The sequence below is a fragment of the Homo sapiens genome, chromosome 12, assembly GCF_000001405.40.
Source record: "Homo sapiens chromosome 12, GRCh38.p14 Primary Assembly".
Taxonomy (NCBI): Eukaryota; Metazoa; Chordata; class Mammalia; order Primates; family Hominidae; genus Homo; species Homo sapiens.
In genome coordinates, this window is record NC_000012.12 from 106,955,506 (window position 1) to 106,976,103 (window position 20,598).

Below are 20,598 nucleotides of genomic sequence, written 5' to 3' on the forward strand. Positions count from 1 at the left end.
GGGGCCGCGGCCTACGCGTCTCCCGGGCTTCGCGCCCCTCGCCCGATTTGATTGGATGGTGGCGGGAAGAAGGCGGGGAGACCCCCGGAGGAGGGGCGCGCAGGCCGGCCGGGGGTTCCCACGGAGGCGTCCAGGGGGCGAAGGGGCGGGAGCGGGCCTCGGAGCGTCGCGCGTGCGCAATTGGGACACAGCCGGCTGGGGACTGCTGGGAGGGCCGGACCCTGCGAGAACGGGTGGGCGTGTGCCCGGTGGGCGCGGGAGGGGCCCGGGCTGCACGAGCGCGCGTGCGCGTCGGAACTGGAGCCGCGGGAGGAGGCGGGAGCTGAGGAGGCGGCGGAGGGGGCGGGTCGCGTCGGGCGCCACGTCCGCAGCCAGAGGCCTCCGCCTCCACCACCGCCGCCACAGTCTTCCAGCTCCACATCCTGAGAGGACGCCTCTGGAGCCGCGACTGCCCGGGGTTGTGCCGGCCGCCGCTGCCGCCCAGGCCGCCTCAGCTCTCCTCTGCGCCGGCCCGCTCACTCCGCCCGGCCCCAGCCCTAGCGCTGGCCGCGACCCCGGCGGTGAGTGAGTCGGGATGCGAGGGCAGGGGCGCAGTCCCGGCTTCCTGCCCTCCTCCGTCGCCCTCTGCCGTCGGCGCCCCTGCCCCTCACCTCCCAGTGCCCGGCCTGGCTGCCCAGCGGGGCCTTGGCGAGGCCCCAGCGGGAAAGGGGGAGGGGCGGGACGAAGTTGGGGGCGGATGGAGGTTCGCTTCTGGGGCTACTCCTCCTTATACGTCGCTGACTGCCCCGCCGCGATTGGAGCTTGCGCACCCCTGGAAAGCCTCCGCCTGACTTCTTAGCATCTGGGGGTTCGGGGTTGGGGGCGGAGGAGGAAGGTGAGGGGCATCAGCAGCCTGGGAGAGGGATGCAGCGGAGGGGCTTGGGTACCGGGCTTCCTCGCCCTGCCAACTCCTGACCTGTTGCTAAACCTCCCTTTTGGGTTCAGGCACACAAGACTTTTTCCCAGTGGACACCCCCATAGCTCTTCCTGGGTAGGAAGGCTGTATCTCCACGCCTAACCTAAAGTAAAAGTGGGAATGGAGAGGGTGCTGGCCGCGCCCAGGGGTGACAGGGAGGGCTGGAGCACCCATCCGTGCCGTCACTGCCTCCCAGTCTAAATAAAAACTGCCTGCTCTGCACACGCAGCTTCAAGACCGACCCCCCAGCTCCCACTTCCAATCAGATCGCCTGTCCTAAACCCTTCTTACATAGAAATTCTGGAGCCCTTCGGGAGTGGGGGGAGTGCTGGGTGTACAACGTGGAGCGGAGGGAGGAGGTGCCAAGCTCAGTGCTAGCCACGGCGCCTCCAGGGTCATTTTCTGCCTCCTGCCACGTCACTCACTGCTAAAGAAAAAAAAAAGATTTGCTAGTGCCTAAAGGGATCAGTAGGGAGAGAAGGGGCCACCCGGAAGGGTTTAGAAACACCTAGAGAAAAGGGAAGGGTTCTTAATTTGATTTTTGCGTCCTTGTGAACACTGTGCTAATTCCAAATGAAAATATTTGCTATATGTGATTATTTGCTGTATGCTATTGTTTAGCCTTTGAAACTTCTGCTGGTGTGAGTGCCCTCAGGGGTTCCCCAGGAATATCGATACAACACCAACAGGTAAACGCGCGCGCCCGTGTGTGTGTGTGTGTGTGTGTGTGTGTGTGTGTGTGTGTGTGTGTATGTGTGTGCGCGCTCGCGCCCATGCTTAACTTTTTAAAAAGAAAGGGAGAAGTAGCCTTTGATAAACCCATATGCATCCTGTTTTGCTTTTTCCACTTTCATTTCTTTAGTCTTTGTTAGAACAGATGTACCAGAAACCAAGTTCAGTAAAAATTTGTCCATTTATAGAAAGCATCGTTAGAAATTATAACGGTTGCTACATTGGACAAATATACAGATTTCTTTGTGTGTGCATGGGTTTGATTTTTTTTTTTTTAACTACAGGAAAATCTTTACCTTTGTTTCAGTTATTCGGTATTTGCTCTTTTTCTATTTCCGGAAGATATCTCACTGGATTATATATAAACATCTTGAGAATAAGACCTTTGTATGCTTGTTCACAAGGATGCCTCAGTGCCTAATAGAATGTTTGACACATAGTAGGAATGCAAATATCTGTTGAAATAATGTGAAGATGGTTTACTGGTTCTCTGGTTTAATAGAGTATTGTAATTCTGCTTAATGTTTCATTTAAGGATAACCCTTAAAAATTGCCATTTTGACACTGTCAGTTATTACTCGTCTAAGTGGGCACTTACAAGTTTTACTGGCAGATGACCTTTTCTTCCTTGCTAGATTGAGAGCATTTCTTGTAGCCTATTTGCTGTTGATTTAATGGGCAGGGGCCATCTTTAAAAGCAGACTCTTCTTGATAGTTGGTTTAACTAGAAAAACATAAAAACAGTAAGCTGGAGTTTTAATGTACTCTGCTTGTTGGTGTATATGTTGTAAAGCTCTGTATACATATATTTTTGAATCTCTTTGCAGTTATTTGGCAAAAAAGCTAAAACATGGGAGTGAGGATGTGGTAAAGTTCTTTTAGGTAGAATATGTAGAAGAATTTAGCTAATTCATTTATAGTCGTCTTTTTCTATTATAGGGAAATTGGCACCTACTGTTGAATAACAGGTGGTTTTAAGTGGCTTTGACAATAAACTTGTGCACTGTATTTTGTAGTTAAGCTTTATATAACGTGTTAGTGTTATTTAACTTCCTTTGGTGTATAGAGGGGTGGTACCCAGAGGAAAATTTATGTACTGTTTTTGGAATTTTTTATTATGAATAAAAATTTTATATATGAAATATTACTGAAACCCACAAACAAGATTGATTCATCAAAGAAAACACGTTTCCCAAGAGGTGTTTGTTTACTTATTTCTATTATTGGAATAAATTACCCTTTAGGGAATTGTGTTGTTAATCCTTGCTCAGTGTATTTGCCAGCTGCTAAATCTATGTGATACTATTGTACTGGGCAAGAATTATTTCTCCCCATCTCTACAATGCTTAATGTAACTGCTGATGAATTTGTAGTCGTGATATACAGTCTACAACAAAGAAGCCTTTCATATGTCACAATTTCTTAAAAACCCACTTATAACCAGTTTAGTTGGTATTGTAATAGTTTATTCACACTTCAGGACCAAAAGGTAGAACTGATTTATGTCTGTAGAATAAGTTAAATCATTTGTACTTATCTAAAGCTATTGTCTGTCATTACTACTTTCCTTAGAAAAGTATGTGTTGTTTTGTTTTTTTGGTAGAGATGAGGTCTTGCTGTGTTGCCCAGGCTGCTCTCAAACCCCAGGGCTCAAGCGATCCTCCTGCCTCGACCTTTCAAAGTGCTGGGATTACAGGCATGAGCCAACATGCCCAGCCAGAAAGTATGTTTTTAATAGAAACTTGTGCATTATGAGGTCCTAGAGAGCAGATATATTTGTTTCTTGAATATATAATTTGTTTCTTGAATGATTCACTAAATGGCAAGTGCCGGAAAAGTCTATTCCCACTGGATTGTAAACTCTGGTTTAGAGTAGTGCCTGTGTGTGCTTAATCACACTGAACTCCTAATTGTGTAACAGGGTGCCTGTCGCATAGTAGGGCTCAAGTATATGTTGAATTAATGATTCAGTGAGTTCAGGGCAGATAGTTTGTATAGAATTTAATAATTTTAATGTATTACTTAAGGGTAACATTTAAAAATGGTCATTTTGAATTTTTTCTTTTTTGATATGGAGTCTTGCTCTGTCGCCCAGGCTGGAGTGCAGTGGCTTGATCTCCACTCACTGCAACATCCGTCTCCCAGGTTCAAGAGATTTTCCTGCCTCAGCCTCCCTGGTAGCTGGGATTACAGGTACCCGCCACCACACCCTGCTGATTTTTCTATTTTTAGTAGAGATGGGGTTTCAGCATGTTGGCCAGGCTGGTCTGGAACTCCTGACCTCAGGTCATCTGCCTGCCTCAGCCTTTCAAAGTGCTGGGATTACAGGCCCATTTTGAAATTTTTACTGTCAGTTGATACTTGTCTCTACATATATACTCTAAAATTTTATTAGTAGATTATTTACCTTTCAGAGTTTTAGATTGGGGTCTATTTATCTTCACAGTTCCTACTATAAGAGAAACAGGTCTCCTGCAATGGTGATAATAAGCAGGATAGTAATATAAGAAGTATTTCTCTTTAGTAACGAAGTGGCAATATCCATAAAGAGGTAATATCACTAAAAGTTAGGCACATATTTGTGTGCAGGACTTTGGAATGGTTTATGTGAATGAAAAGTACAGATGACACAGTTAAGGATTTTAGCAAATACCTTTATAAGGTAACTCAGTGTCTTATGATCAAATTAGGAATTCAGGAAAAAAAATCTCAAATACTTGTGGCTTTTTAATTAATTAAAAATTAGTAATAATTTTTATTACTCTAAGAGTTCTAGAGGAATTTTGATACAACATACTGGCTATTAAGGTGTGATGTACAAGATGCCCAAACATCAAAACAAAACTAATCTTTTTTTTTTGAGATGGAGTTCTGCCCTGTCACCCAGGCTGGAGTGCAGTGGTGAGATCTTGGTTCACTGCAACCTCTGCCTCCTGGGTTCAAGCAATTCTCCTGCCTCAGCCTCCTGAGTAGCTAGGATTACAGGCATGCGCCACCATGCCCGGCTAATTTTTGTATTTTTAGTAGAGATGGGGTTTCACCATGTTGGCCAGACTGGTCTCGAACTCCTGACCTCAGGTGATCCACCTGCCTTGGCCTCCCAAAGTGGTGGGATTACAGGTGTGAGCCACCATGTCCGGCCCTTGTTTTTTTTTTTTTTAGTCCCAATGAAACTAATCTTTGTGGCACTTAGGACTTTCAAGTCTTTCTAAATAGTGAATTCCTCTAGTCTAGGATATGCCTGGCATGGCAGGACTCCAGAGTTGCTGCTTTCTTGTTTATTGATAATCCTATTGGTAACTACTGCTAATAAATTTTAAATGCAATTGAATATTTCTATATAATAATATCTAGCTTTTTACATTTCACACTCCTCTACAGAAATACTCCTAATTTTAGGCCAGAATGAACTCATGGTGGGCGTGGGAGTGGGAGTGTGGTTGGACTGGCAGGGAGAGCTGGTAAGTCTGAGAATATACCCGGAAGCAGCCCCAGGCGAGAGTGAAATCTCTTGAAAGTCTAGTTATCTTTTAAAAAAAACACAATGCTCAAAGCACTTTTCATTTCACTTTTTACTGTGTGTGAATTTAAAAATAAAACAGTATTTTAAATTACTCTAGATTAAATGCAGGCATTATGTCTCTCCTGTGTATTCTTAAGTCCTAGGCACACCACTGCCTATGTTTAAAAAGGTACATTTGGAAAGCATGTCTCTAGCTTAGAGTTTTCTTTTTTTTAAACCCCAAATTTGGGCCATATATTGGTAGGTATTTCTTCTTGTGATGCTTAAAGTATATGCGGATACTTCTCTTCGCTTCGCTTCTTTTCTCCTCTCTTCTCTTCGTCCTGTCCTGTCCTGTCCTGTCCTGTCCTATCGTTTGAGACAGGGTCTCGCTCTATGGCTGAGGCTGGAGTGCAATGGCATGATCATGGCTCACTGCAGCTGCTTTAAACTCCTGGGCTTAAGCAGTTCTTCCTCTTCATCCTTCCAAATATGTGGGACTACAGGCGTGCACCACCGTGCCCAGTCAATTTTTTTTTTTTTTTTTTTTTTTTTTTTTTTTTTTTGTGGAGACGGAGTCTCATTATGTTTTCCTGGTCTTGACTTCCTTAGCTCAAGCAGTCCTCTAACCTCAACCTCCCAAAGTGCTGGGATTACAATATTTTCTTTTTATTCTACTTATCCCACAAATACTATCTGGCAGCTTACAACAAAAACATGTACCAACAAATTGGTAAAAATATGTAAATAAGATACTCAAATTGCAAACCAGGGAGAAATAGCAATCCAAGTAGCAATCTTGAGGAGGTGTGGAAGTGTGGAGGAAGATAGGACACAACTGTGCAGGCCACAGGAGCCTACCTAGTTGAGCTGGGATTTTAGCTTTAAGCTTCCAGGAAGCCAAAGAGAAGGAAGACATCATACCTTTGTATCTTTTAAATATAAAAATGCCTATATCTTTAAGAAAACAGGCTAAATATTTGGGGGAAACAAGACATTTTCTAAATAGTTACCTCTGAAGAAATTTCTTATGTGGAGTTCCGTATCAGAGCTATTAAGTGTTGTAGTGGGTAATGTCTTTAACAGTATTGTACAGTTAATATAGTAATAACCTGCATAAGGCTGTTTGTCAGGATTTCCTTACCCAAGACATAACTGTGAACAAAACTCAGTGATACCATTTTCTTAAAGCATCATGTGATTCAAGTATGTTGTTTTTTAGATTATTAACTTCATCTGTGGCTAAAACTTAGAATAATTAGGATTAGATGAACTACATAATCTTTAAAAATATTTATGAATATTACTGATTTCCAAGACTTGAAAATATGTATTTTTCTTTAATTATAAAAGCAATACATTTTTATGGTAGAAAATTTATAGATGTTAATTAACTATGCATATTTCTATGTGTAGGTATAAAAATACTATATACAAATACTATATTATACTGTGAATATATAAATGCTATGTATACTACTTCATGCATGTGTATGTAAAATGTAAAACTTATGTATTTCTAACCCCCCCCGCCCCCTGGCAATCTTTATTAATACTTCGGCATACTTTCTTCCAGTCTTTTTGTATGCATTTTTTAAAAAATTGGGCATGATGATATATGCCTTTTACAGTCTCTAAATATAGCATTAGCATATTTCTGTAGTATTTGATCATAAATTATTTTCACATCTGCATAATGTATGTCTTTTGGAAGCCTATAAATTCCTCTCTTGCGTTCCATGAGGCTGTACTCATTTGTTCATTTTCAGATGTGTTTTGTTTGTTTTTGCTGGCTTCTCTTTTGCTCACCTCTTAAATATGAGCTGGCCAATTAAGGCTGTCAGTCGGCTTCTCATCACTCTTTTCCTTGATCATATCACCCACTGCTCAGAGCTTCAGCTATCACTTCAAACCGCTCTTAGAACCTCAACTCTAACTCCAACTTTATGCTGAATTTCTGGCCCCTTAAATCCAATTGCCTGCTGAACAAGTGTGGATGCCCTGAAGGCATTTCAAATACAGCTTGTTCAGAAACAAGTCCTTCATCTTCTCTCAAAAGGTTTCTCTTCTGATATTCTCTGTGTTCATCATCTCTGTCTTATACTAGAAATATGACATTAGATTCTCCCTTTCATCTCAAAGTTACATTCTACTTCTGACAAAAAATTCAAGTATATGAGTGTCAACCATGCATCATTGATTAAGTCTCTGGTGATAGAGTAGTGAACAAACCAAGCGTTTGTTCTCATGGAGCTTACATTTTAATTGGGAGAGACCCAAAGTAAACAGATTAGGTGAAAATGATAAGAAGAGTGGAGGGTGCTCATCTATTATAAGGTGGTCAGGGGACATCTTCTGATAAGGGGACATTTGCAGAAGGACCTGAGCCATGTACATATACTGGGGAAAAGGCTTCGAGGAAAGGATAAACAAGGAACTCTGTGTTACTAGACTGGAATGAACAAGAGGTAGAATAGTGGAGATGGCGGTTAAGTATTTGGCCTCAAAGGCAAAGGTATAAGGACTCTGAATTTTATTCTAAGCAAAATAGGAAGCAGTTGGAGGATATTAAACAGAGTATGACACGACTGGACTGAAAGAAGAACAAAGGTGGAAGCTCGGAGACCCATTCAGAGATTTTGCAGTAGTACAAGTAAGAGATTATGATGGCTTAAAGTGGTAACAGTAGAGGTAATGAGAAGTGGTTATATTCTGGATTTATTTAGGCAACAGAATTTACCGATAATTAGATGGGAATGTAAAAAAAAGCAGAATTCAAAGGTGACCCTGGCATTTTGTCCAAAGCATTTATTTAGACATGAAAATCTGGCAGAGTTTAGACTGTCAGAAAATTCTATCTTACTGGACTACTAAAGTAGCCACTTACTGTATTAATCTCTCTGTCCTTCCATCTCTTCTTGCTTCAGTTAGCGTCTTAAGGCACAGATATGACAGTATAACTCTGCTCATGGGTTCTTAATGCTTATCCACAGAAGGATGAAGTCAATTCATATTATTTAGATTAAACTGCATCTATCTTATGCTCTCATAAAGCAGAACTAATTTTTAAAAATTGTCTTTTTCTTAATTACAAGATAGGATATAGAAAAATAATTGTTTTTAAGGGATACTGTATTAGAAATAAAAGGTAAGACTGTTGGTAGGGATTTATGGGGTAGGCACCAGAAAGTCAGTTTTGAAATATATGCGGTTACAGTCATAATCACACCTATTTTTAAACTCCAGTTAAAATATGTAAGATGTATGGGTATATGTAATTTCCCATATTTCTCTATAGGGTATGGTACCTTCTGTTGATTGCCCAGCCAAGTGATCTCCTGGATTTGTGTCTATGTGTATGGTATTAATATATAGTACTGAGATTACCATGATGAACAAATTGGACAAAGGTGTCTGTCCTCTTGAAATTAATTGTCCAGCAGGGAAGTAAGTGGCTTCAAAATCATCATTTCTCAGAAGGGACACACATATTCTACCAGGAATTTCTGCATGTTTTATTTTGGAATTTGTTAAATAGCATTCTCATCTTAGGGTTAAGGCTAGAATTGTCTTTGATTTTTATTTTAACTATCCTAAACAGCAAGTATTTAATGAAGTTATTTGTCCTCTTCTATACAGTTTATGGTCAAGCTGAGATTCAAACTCAGGCACTCTGACCCCAAAGCCTTAACCACCATCCTGTATAATTTGTTATGATCTTACCATGATGATAAATCAAAGAAAACATAAATGTGAATGGTAATAAATGAACCTTTGTGGTTGGGGAGTTTTAAAATTAGGGCACATCCATCAAGAACCTCCTTTCCCAGTAATGCATCAGCTGAAATTCTTACTAGTTTTTCTGTGAGAGATTACTTAGCTTTACTATTACTTTTTAAATCTTATGTTTGGGATGATGTGCTAAATTCTCAAACCAAACCAGGATAAGATTAGGTGCCATTGATAAATGACCTGAGTCAGGATTTTCACTAGAGCAATTGAAAGCTATTTATTAAACACATGTGCTGCTGGACTCAGTAGGGGTGCAGAGAAGTGTCATCTTAAGTAGGATTTACGTTTTAAAGTCATAAGAAGATGAATTCCATGAAGTTAAAATCACCTTTGAAAATTCCCATTTCTCGCAACCTCTGCCTCTACCACCCTCATCCAAGCCACCAACATTTTTTGGCCTAGATTATTGAAGTTGTTTCCTAATGGGACTTTCTGCCTCTGCTGTTGTTCACCTATTGCTTGTATTCCCTACAGCAGCCAGAATGATCTTTTAAAAGATCACCTTACTCTTTTGTCCAGTGCCTTTTACTAGTTTCCCATCTCACTCAGTTAAAAGCCACTCTCCATCATCACCTTCAAGGGCCTATGTTGATCCAGACCTCACTCTTTGTCTTCCTCTCCTACTGCCCTTGATGCGACCCTGCCACACTTTACTGGCTGTTCCTTCTTGCTGATCCAGGTAAGCTCCCACATCAGGGCCTTTGCTCTTGCCATTTCTTCTTCCGCAAAGACTCTTCACCTAAATATCTTGTATCCTTACCTTCTTTGAGTGTCATCGCAGTAAAGCCTTCACAGACTATCCTATCTAAAATATCATATCCTCTCCCCATCCATCCTTGGCCGGGCGCAGTGGCTTATGCCTGTAATCCCAGCACTTTGGGAGGCCGAGGTAGGCGGATCATCTGAGGTCAGGAGTTCAAGACCAGCCTGGCCAACATGGTGAAACCCCATCTCTACTAAAAATACAAAAATTAGCCAGGCATGGTGATGCACGACTGTAGTCCCAGCTACTCGGGAGGCTGAAGCAGAAGAATTACTTGAACCTGGGAGGCAGAGTTGCAGTGAGCTGAGATCGCACCACTGCACTCCAGCCTGGGCGACAGAGTGAGACTCTGTCTCAAAAAAAAAAAAAAAAATCACACAAAAATAAAGTATCACACCCTCTCATCCATCCCTTTTTCTCCATAGCATATAAATACCACTGACATATAGTCCTCTCTTTGTATTTATTTTGTATTTATTTATTGCCTTTCCCCATTGGAGTATCCATTTCATGATGGCAGAGATTTTTTCCATCTGTATTGATATATACATATATATATATTTTATAGTAAATTTTGAATTCTGTTAACTGCCTCTGTTCATAAGAGCTTTAAGAACAGCAAAAAGTCATCAAAATTGATCTGTTACTGATTCAGATTGGTGGTGTCATCATTACAAGAGAGGGATGTCTTTTTTTTAAGGACTTTCTCAGATAGAACACCTTAGTATTTATTTATTAACTTTTTCAAATTTTAGGGTCAGGAGTACATGTGCAGATTCATTACGTGGGTAAAATCGTGTGTTGTGGGGGTTGGGTGTACAGATGATTTCATCACCCAGGTAATAAGCATAGTACTCAATAGATAGTTTTTTGACCCTTACTCTCTTTCCACTCACCACCTACAAGCAGGCCCTGGTGTCTCTTGTTACCTTCTTTGTGTCCATGTATACTCAGTGTTTAGCTCTCATTCATAAGTGAGAAAATGCGGTATTTGGTTTTCTGTTCCAGTGTTAGCTCACTTAGGATCATGGCCCCCAGCTCCACCTGTGTTGCTGCAAAGGACATGATCTCATTCTTTTTTATGGTTACATAGTGTTCCATGATGTATATGCACCACATTTTCTTTATCCAGTCCACTGTTGATGGGCATCTAGGTTGATTCCATGTCTTTGTTATTGTGAATAGTACTGTGATGAACATAACACGTGTGTGGTAGAATGATTTATATTCCTTTGAGTTATATCTAGAAATGGGATTGCTGGGTTGAATGGTAGTTGTGAGTTCTTTTGAGAAATCTCCAAACTGTTTTCCACAGTGGCTGAACTAATTAACATTCCCATTAGCAGTGTATAAGCATTCTTTTTTCTGCAGCTTTGCCAGCATCTGTTATATTTTGACTTTTTAATAATAACCATTCTGTCTAGGGAACACCTTTTTTAGTTCTGGTATACTTTTTTCTTTAAGTCTATTGTGAAATAAATTACAATTAAATTAACCAGTATTCTGTAGGAGGAAACAACATTTTTGTCGGCTAACCCCCACCTTCCAGCTCTCTTTCAGTGAGTAATTTTCAGTTGTAGTTGAAGCACCACAGTAACAACATAGGAAAACTTATACTATGACTGCCACTCTTTGGTGAGTGTTTCACATAAGATTTATATTGTCTACTGGTATAATTTAAAGTATTTATTAAATGCCGCAGTTTGAAGTAGGAGAGAAACAAGATGAAGACTAGTTGTATAGTGGGTACAAAATGTTGTTTATCTGAATAATGTTGATGAAATCGCAATTTAGCATGTGATAAGAGGTAGTCTCACATGTTGAGGTTAAAATGAAATGTGTTTGTATGTTTTTTTTTTAGGAGATCATGAATCAGACAGATAAAAATCAACAAGAAATCCCATCATACCTTAATGATGAACCACCAGAAGGTAAGTATGCATCTGTAACACTAAGAATGGAAAAATATACTGAATTAAAGTTCTGATAGTTTTTATTTTTTACTTATTTTATTTTATTTTTTTTTGAGACAGAGTCTTACTCTGTCAACCCAGGCTGGAGTGCAATGGCACGATCTTGGCCCACTGCAACCTCCGCTTCCTGGGTTCAAGCAGTTCTCCTGCCTCAGCCTCCCAAGTAGCTGGGATTACAGGTACCTGCCACCACACCTGGCTAATTTTTTGTATTTTTAGTAGAGACAGGGGTTTCATCATGCTGGCCAGGGTGGTCTTGAACTCCTGACCTTAGTTGATCCACCTGCCTCGGCCTCCCAAAGTGCTGGGATTATAGGCGTGAGCCACCACTCCCAGCCCTGATTGTTTTTATTAAAGAAATATAACCTGTTTACCTTGTCAGTAAATATGTCCCCAAAATAATTGAAGATAACATTTTTAGCTTCTAATAAGAAAGCATAGATAGTGGTGAATAGGGACACAATTTTACCATATAAGGCATAATATTTTGCTGTCATTCTTCTTTTAAGACCATTTTAGAAGTATAAGTATCCTTTCATTTGTAAAGGGTGAGGATGGATACAGAGGAAGGATGGACTGTGTTTAGTTTTGATATCCTGCATACAAAATCAGCCTAATGCAAGAGGCATTAGAGATCTGTTGTTAAACTCCTATTATTCATTATATTGTAATTGGTACCTCTCCTCTATTAACACATGATCTTGGGATCTGCTTCATTTGTCTTTTTAAGTCATAATTCTCTTTGAGTTTGAAAATTGTGTTATCATGAATCATTTTAATTCTTCAGAAACCCTTGGAAACACACCTGAATGTCCTGAGTACATACAGAAAATGACTAGAGGCATGTTTTTGGTATAGACTGTTACTAAACTTAATCCAAATAGTGATCTCCTTGGAGAATTGCATGTTGATTACTAGGGCTGGAGGTTGTGACTCTAGGTATTATATATTTTTTCCTAGTTCTGTTACCCATTGTCTAAAATTTTCTTCCTATATTTCTTTTATTGGTAGGCAAAAATGAAATTGCTAGGAAAATAGCAACAAAGGGTTTACACTTAAGCCATAAAGAATTCAAAAGAACTATCGGAGATTGCAGTGAGCTAAGATCGTGCCACTGAACTTCAGCCTGGGCGACAGAGTGAGACTCCGTCTCAAAAAAAAAAAAAAGAACTAGCTGATTAGGTTTAGTTTAGTTTGGTGGAGGAATAGCCTGGAAAATTACTAACTCAGGTCTTTTCCATGCCTTACATTTTTAGGTCTGGAACCATGGAGTTTTGAAAAGTTAGGGCTCAGTGAGAAAGTTAACAAGGACTTTGTGAGAAAGAAATCAGAAAAGGGATAAATAAAGGCCATCCAGGGGCATGATTGTCAAGGAAGAGAACAAAGCAGAATGTCTTTCTATGCCAACCACTAAACAAGAGGAATCTGCAAAGCAGATAATTTATATGGTGATAATTAAGAGTATACTGTAATAAAAGAGATCAGCTGCATTAATTATTTATCTGACTTGATTAAGAACAATTATTTGTCTTCTTTAAATGCATGTGTACCAAATTTGGCATGGCAAGATAGTTTTACTAATGAGATATTTGGCATGAGGCAGTTATCTGTTGTAGCCTCAAATCAGGATTTTGCCTTTTTTCTTAGGGCTAGTGACCTCGATTACAGAATTACCAATTATGTAATCCTTTCCATCATAATTTTATAACTAATATATTCAAATGCCCATCTATATATTAAGTCTTTTACTTCAGTCATTAAAAATTTGTATTAACTATACTTATTAAGTAGTTTTAATAAAAATATTTGGTTTTTAAAGTTTATAGCTATTGCTGTATCTGTATTTATGCACTATTTTGCAAAGATATTTTGACTAGTCAGTGAGATTTTCCCACTTGTGATAAAATGTAAAATCTTCAGACAATGAAAAGAAAAATTATCTCAAGGTAAATTTGTGCCTTGTGCATTGGAAAGCTCAGTTTTCAGAATTTTTTATTTTCTCCATCAAATATTGTCAGTTTCCCCATGATACCTTCTCTGAGAACTTGATTCTGCTAGAATCTAATAGTTTTGGTGCTCTTAGTTGGACTTACGTACCCAGTAATTTACCCCTCTTTTTCAGAAGTAAAGCTTGAATTGTGTAAGTACCAAATATTTTTCCATGAAGTTTAGAAAAACACTAATGCTTATGTGTTGTTGCTGCTTAAATTATTAGGTTACTAGGCCGGGCGCAGTGGCTCACGCCTGTAATCCCAGCACTTTGGGAGGCCGAGGTGGGTTGATCACGAGGTCAGGAGATTGAGACCATCCTGACTAACACGGTGAAACCCTGTCTCTACTAAAAATACAAAAAATTAGCCGGGTGTGGTGGTGGGCACCTGTAATCCCAGCTACTCAGGAGGCTGAGGCAGGAAAATGGCGTGAACCCAGGAGGCGGAGCTTGCAGTGAGCCAAGATCACGCCACTGCACTCCAGCCTGGGTGACAGAGCAAGACTCTGTCTCAAAAAAAAAAAAAAAAATATTAGATTACTAAAGAGAAAAGACCTGTGTTCACTGTGTTCATTTTAAGCTAGTGCAAATTTTTATGAAATCTTTCTGCTAGTCATTTTATTCCTAAGTTTGAGCTTACATGCTAATATATGTGGCTCTATTTAAAAAAAAAAAACAAAGAAAATAAACTCATGACTTAGAGCTTAATTTTTCATATTGCTATTGCCTTTTATGGGGGATATCTCTAGTTTTTAAAAACTAGATACTTAAAGCACACACTCTCTTTCATAAGAATTACTGAGGCAGTAATTTTAAGTGTTAACCATATCTATAGTTTCTCTATCCTACTTATGTCTGAATAAAAATGATTTTTTAGGTAGATAACACGATTTTAAATGATGAATAGTTTTTTACTTTTACATAGTATTAGCTCTTTAAATACGTCAGTAAGGGAGACATAGAGCAGAGACCCAAATGTATTTACTTAATAGGGGTTCTTAAACTTTTTGGTTTCAGGATGCCTTTACAATGTCAAAAATTGAGGCCCCAAAGAGCTGTGTCTTTGTCAATATTTACCATATTAGCAATAAAAACTGAGAAATTTGAATATTTTATGCATTAAAAGAACCCATATTAACATAATTAAAATATTTTTATGAATAGTAATTCTTTCAAAACAAAAAAAATTGTGGAAATTGTGAGCAAGGTGATACTGGTTTATACATTTTAGCAAATCTCTTTAATGTTTGGATTAATGCAAGACAGCTACATTCTTGCAGCTGCTTCTGCATTCAGTCTGTTGTATTATACATCATTCTGCTTCTGGAAAACTGCTATAGACTCATGACAGAAAGTGAAAAGACAAATGATATTTTAATAATATTATGAAAATAGTTTTTACCTTGTAGACCCCCTGAAATGGTCTTCGGCATCTGTAGTGGTCCCAGACCATACCTTGAAAACTACTGCATTTTACGAAGAAGATTGTTTCGGTAATGACTGATTAAATCCTATCAAGGAAATGAAGGCCAAATGTAGTTATCTTTTTATTTTTTCATGTTCCTTTTAGGATGTAAAATAAAGGTTATTTGTTAACAAAACCGTAAACCAAGGAAACATTTAAAATAGGATTCTGTTTTACAAAAGTTGTCTAGTCTCTAAAGCATTTCTTCTCATAGATACTAAGACTTAGCATTGGACCAAGATATTGTAAAAACATGTACAACTATACCCTGAAGGAAGAGCTCTTCAGTGTCTTTGAATCAGTGTGGTTGGCCTTATCAAATCAACCTCCTGTTGTGAGGAAGTCTTAGGTTACTTAATGATGTGTACTGCTCTTTTAAAGACTTGTGACTTATATTTGATTGTCTCATGATATTTTCTCTCATTAGGTTCAATGAAAGATCACCCACAGCAGCAGCCAGGCATGTTGTCCCGTGTGACTGGGGGTATCTTCAGTGTTACAAAGGGAGCTGTTGGTGCCACCATTGGTGGTGTGGCTTGGATTGGTGGAAAGAGTCTGGAAGTGACCAAAACAGCTGTTACAACTGTGCCTTCCATGGGAATAGGGCTGGTGAAAGGGGGTGTCTCTGCTGTGGCTGGAGGTGTTACAGCTGTTGGGTCTGCTGTTGTAAACAAAGTGCCCTTAACAGGAAAGAAGAAAGACAAATCTGACTGAAATATAGAGATACACTTGCGCTCCACAGCACTGTAATGCCAGTGGCATTGAATTGCTAAATTATGGACTACAACCAAGTCAACTGTTTTGGACGTTTATCTTCTAAACTGCTGTGTTGAAAGTATTGATGACTGGCTTTCATCTAAAAAGAAGAGACCAATACGAGCACAGTATATGAAGGTTTCTCATACTTAAGTTCCAGGTTTTTATCTGGTAAAATGTTACACTTACTCGGTTGTAACTGAAGATATGGTATGTTTGAATATTTACTATAAGTCTTTCAGTTTGACTAAAAATGTGAAAGTTGAATTTAGTAGATGATCTTCACAGTTCCATATGTATAATGTGCCAGGTAACTCACCTGCCCCTTAAGAAGGGAACCTTGAATTACATAAGCCGTACCTTTGATGTGCCTAATAGTTTCAGATGTCTTAGTTTTTTATAACCATAGTTGATTAGGCCAAGAGGCATTCATTTCTTATTTAAGCTGGCAAAATTAGCAGGAATTAGAGAAGTTTAAAAAGATAAATGGTTTTATGATAATGTTAACCATCTTTTGTTAGTAAATATGCGTTCTATTATTTTAATCATTGATGCCTTACAAAAGAAAACATCTTTTCTAATACCCTGAATATGTGCTGTTCTTAGAATCATCTATGGATTCTTTTAAAGGTTGTTTGTGAAATTAGTTTTCCCTTTTTAGAATCTCAGGAGTAGTGGGGTAAAGACATTTCCTGCTGTCAGTGGATAAGACAGAGCTTGTTAACTGTTTTGGCAGTAGTTAAAATCAAATTGTACACTTCTCAGCCTGGGTTCATGCTTCATCATTAATACACCTCACAGTGCCTAAGGAACATTTACTTACTGGTCAGAAGGTATTTTGGAAGAGTTTCATATTAAGGAGGAACAAATAATAATTTTAAGTTCTTAAAAATTACCTAAAACACCCCAAATATAAAAAGAAGCCTTCACACCTATTCTGTCTTTAGGATGTCTTAAATTATTAGCAGTACTCCTTTTTTAAAAACACTGTAAAAGTAACCACAAATATGTGAGGACTTACTATTTTAAATGGAATGGAATGAGCTCCATAGATTAGTTTTGAATATAAAGTATATAAAAGTGCATCAGTGGTTTATATAGGCTTTAAAAACATGTTATCTTACAGTCCTTTAAAGCAGCCATAGAGTTTGTATCATTTTTCAAGCCAATTTCAGTCAGGGATTTGAATTGTTTGATTATGGATGATAAATGTGTCATATCTTATTAATATGTCTCATGTCTCGTTCCTTCTTAATATGATTTAGCTGGAATTCATTTTCTTTTCGTTTCATGTTTAATTTCATAAAACGTTTAACAATTGGCATATATACTTGGCATTCCTGTCCACCAAGGATTGTAATCCAAGCCTGGGAAAATCTTAAATTTCTTTTTACTTAAATCTGGAAATTTGTCTCCATTCTGCCACCTTTTTTTTTTTTTTTTTTTATAGTGGAGGGGAGGAAAGGGGGGTGATACCTTGCAGTAAGTAAGTCGAAATAGCATGCCTGAAAATTTGAAACAGACCATTCTAACACCCAAGGCTTGTTTATAAAATACTTGAGAATTACATTAATGTGGAATCAACAGATGCAGAAGAATATAACATAACTTTTAAAAGCTTTCATAAATACCAGCAGCAATTGTAAGCAAATCTACAAAGGTTCTTGAACCTTTCTATTATATACAAAACTGAAAAGTCATTAAGGAGTTCAACTAATCAGGAATTAAATGGTCATTTATTTCATGCAGTATGATTTAAGGTATTTCTTGAGATTCTGGTCAAATGTCATAATCAGCAAACGGGATTAAAAAAAAAACTCCAAAATCACTAAATAATTATCTAAATAATGGTATTGGAGAACTTGTTTCCTGCTATTTGGAAGAGATTGTTGCTTCATTGCTAGTTTGTATTTCTAACTTCTACAGTTATAGACTCCACTGTGCTTTGTGTCTGAATTTCTCAGTATAGACATTTTGTTTACTGTATGCTTGCATATTTATTTTCAACTTTGTTTGTCTTTAAAATTGCTTGAGGAAAAATGGTTGTAATTAATTTCTGCTACAGAAAAGCCACCTGGTACGTTTTGTCTCATCAGGATTGTTTTAAATTCTAAACTATAAGTTTGTTCAGAGGGGCTTTTGCAATGATAGCAGAAAACTGTACAAATGTACAGTTAGTTATAGAGGTTCTTGTTGAAATGAACTTACCATCTGATGATATGTATGTACAGCTGTGTACTTGAGTCTTTTTTAGTTTACTTAGAAAGACTAGCAGTTTGACCTGTTAAACAGGACTAGTTCAAGTCAAGAAACTAAGGTTGTTGTATACACCTGGAGGCATCTGTTATTCAGCTTATCCTTTGAGTGGGTATTTGGCACAATGAGGATAAACTTATGTGACCCACTTGAATGGCTGATCTAATAATGTTGACATTATGCATTCTGTACTTAGTGAAATGTCAGATGAAAATAACTGATGAATAATTTTTTTGTATTAAAGGGATGGGAAAAGAACACATGAATTTGTTAATAAAGCACTATGATCTGCAAACGATGGAATGTTTCATAAAGATCTAAAGAAATAAAGGAAACTTTAAAACAGGGTGATCTTACCATTTTTAGTTACTTTGCAGTTCAGAAAGTGCTGTAGCCAGTTTAAAATTTTTTTTATAGTAATGTACAAACATATCTTTGGATATGTATTTTGATGCTGACACAACCATGAAATACAAATATATTTTAAGCAACTCTAATAATAAAGATTAAGAGTGTAGATTTCTAGGTTTTACCCCAACTTGCCAAATCTCTGCAAGGTGGGGCCCAGGACTGCATTTTAACAACCTCTCTGGGTAATTCTTGAGTACAACAAGAGTACTTTCAAACAAAGTTTGAAAACTGATGGATTATAAAGCAGGGAGCACTTCTGTCTGTTCCAAGTAGCTGTGGAACCAACTGAGACATCTCACTGGAAAGAAATGACTGACTAAAAGGGGTGGGGAGGAGTGTAGAAAATTGATATTTACTGGGCATCTGCTTACCTGCCAGGTACTGGCCATACTTCTCATTTAATCAGCATGAGGGCCTTATGAAGGAAGTATCATTACTCTCTTACAAATACAGAACAGGCTAACTTTCAATGTTAGTTGAATTTTCCATATCACTTTTGAATTAGTGTAGGTCACAACTTCTCCAGTTTATGTCCAGGAACAGAAATGGGGCTACTCAGTAACTAGGCCTTTATTCTAGTGTTGACATTCAGTGCAGCCTGTATGCTTGATTGACCAGGCTGTCTGACTTGCAGCTTACCGGAAGTCTTTCACGTGACCATATTTACTTTGGTGACCACATTTTGCTACAGCAATGAATTTAGTGTGATTTTACACAAATTGAAGAAAATCTAATTTTGTTAAAGAGCCTTTTTTCACAGAGGAAACCGAATTTGACTCTAGTGTTTTATGAAAGGGTATCTCCCCCTGCTATGTTACTGATTTTGAATTTTTAAAATTCTGTTTCATAGGAAGATCTGAGTTAGAATGTATGAATGGAAAAAAAAGGCAAAGCAGAACAATTTCAGAGGTTCAAGAGCCAAAAGCAATGGAATGGACCCTAAGGGAAAATAAAGTCAGTATACTGCATAATTGATTAAGAATGTAATCTTTTCAAGTTAGAGTAAGCTACAATTGTATTTCTATAACTGTAACTACTTCTGGTTCTCTGTGGCTAGATCTGAGCACTTAAATTTTGCTGCGTATTGACTAGTCTCCTTTTAAATTAATGGCCACAAAGTACACATGGTCAGACTTTCTAATATGCCCTTTTATTGTATGTTCGCTTTCACCCTCCTCAAAATGACTCACCGCCACCCCCGCCCCCGAGACATGGTCTTGCTGTCGCCCAGGCTGCAGCACAGTCGTATGAACATAGCTCACTGCAGCCTTGATCTTCTGGGCCCAAGCCATCCTCCCCGTTCACCCTCCCAAGTAGCTAGGACTAGAGGTGTGTGCCACCACACCAGGCTGATTTAAAAAAAATTTTTAAACATTTTTATAGAGACAGGATCTCACTATGTTGCTCAGGCTGGTCTCAAACTCCTGGCCTCAAGTGATTCTCCTGCTTGGCTTCCCAAAGTGTTGGGATTTCAGGCGTGAGCCACAGTGCCTGGCCCAGAATCACTCTATAGTGTGAGCCAATTATTTCCTTTTTGCTAAACCCATTAGTCACTTCTCTGTGTCTTAGTCGACCCCCTCAGTGGCTTCATTATTATTGGCCATGTCCTTGTTTCTTCCTGGGACCAACTTCTTGCTTTGACCAGTCTTTTTCCAGGCTTGGCCAACCACCCTACTCCAAATCTGCACTTTTTTTCCCCCAGGCAGTCTAATCTAGAGCCATGGCTTTAAATATCATAGATATGCAGATGATCCCCAAATATGTATTTTCAGTTCTGACTGAAACTCAACTCCAGACTTAGCCATTTGCCTGTTTGACATCCCTGCTAGGATGTCTAGTAGGCATCTCAAAATTGACATCTAACTACCAAGGTAACCATATCACATATAATGTCTTCCCAACTGAGACACTTCAGAGTGAAAGAGCAAGAGCGCCCCTGATACTTTGTCAGGACAAGAAGCATAAACTGAAAACTCCAAGCGTTTCCTATCACACTTCAAATG

The 20,598-nt window shown here is 38.8% G+C and overlaps 1 protein-coding gene across 6 annotated transcripts, besides 3 other annotated features; it reads left to right on the forward strand.

Moving 5' to 3' along the window:
- Nucleotides 30-789: a silencer, noted in NCBI's record as "silent region_4819". NCBI's record gives its function as "represses an Ori minimal core promoter by ATAC-STARR-seq in GM12878 lymphoblastoid cells {active_cell/tissue: GM12878}" and the evidence as "EXISTENCE:reporter gene assay evidence [ECO:0000049][PMID:35858748]".
- Nucleotides 66-360: an enhancer, noted in NCBI's record as "tiled region #9924; HepG2 Activating DNase matched - State 1:Tss, and K562 Activating DNase unmatched - State 1:Tss". NCBI's record gives its function as "activates a minimal TATA promoter and a strong SV40 promoter by Sharpr-MPRA in HepG2 and K562 cells {active_cell/tissue: HepG2 | K562}" and the evidence as "EXISTENCE:reporter gene assay evidence [ECO:0000049][PMID:27701403]".
- Nucleotides 402-18,530, forward strand: TMEM263 (transmembrane protein 263). Of its 6 annotated transcripts, none has more exons than NM_001319664.2 (5): nucleotides 402-560; nucleotides 1,577-1,644; nucleotides 3,765-3,880; nucleotides 11,606-11,675; nucleotides 15,600-18,530. In NM_001319664.2, exons 4-5 carry the CDS (start codon nucleotides 11,612-11,614, stop codon nucleotides 15,884-15,886), a joined length of 351 nt encoding a protein of 116 aa, NP_001306593.1. In that variant the 5' UTR covers nucleotides 402-560; nucleotides 1,577-1,644; nucleotides 3,765-3,880; nucleotides 11,606-11,611; the 3' UTR covers nucleotides 15,887-18,530. The 6 variants fall into 6 exon arrangements, with proteins under 6 accessions (NP_001306593.1, NP_001306592.1, NP_001306595.1 ...); NM_001319663.2 differs by having other exon boundaries at nucleotides 3,783-3,880; NM_001319666.2 differs by lacking the exon at nucleotides 3,765-3,880 and adding an exon at nucleotides 11,778-11,896.
- Nucleotides 1,290-1,349: an enhancer, noted in NCBI's record as "active region_6950". NCBI's record gives its function as "activates an Ori minimal core promoter by ATAC-STARR-seq in GM12878 lymphoblastoid cells {active_cell/tissue: GM12878}" and the evidence as "EXISTENCE:reporter gene assay evidence [ECO:0000049][PMID:35858748]".
- Nucleotides 18,531-20,598: the final 2,068 nt, after the last annotated feature.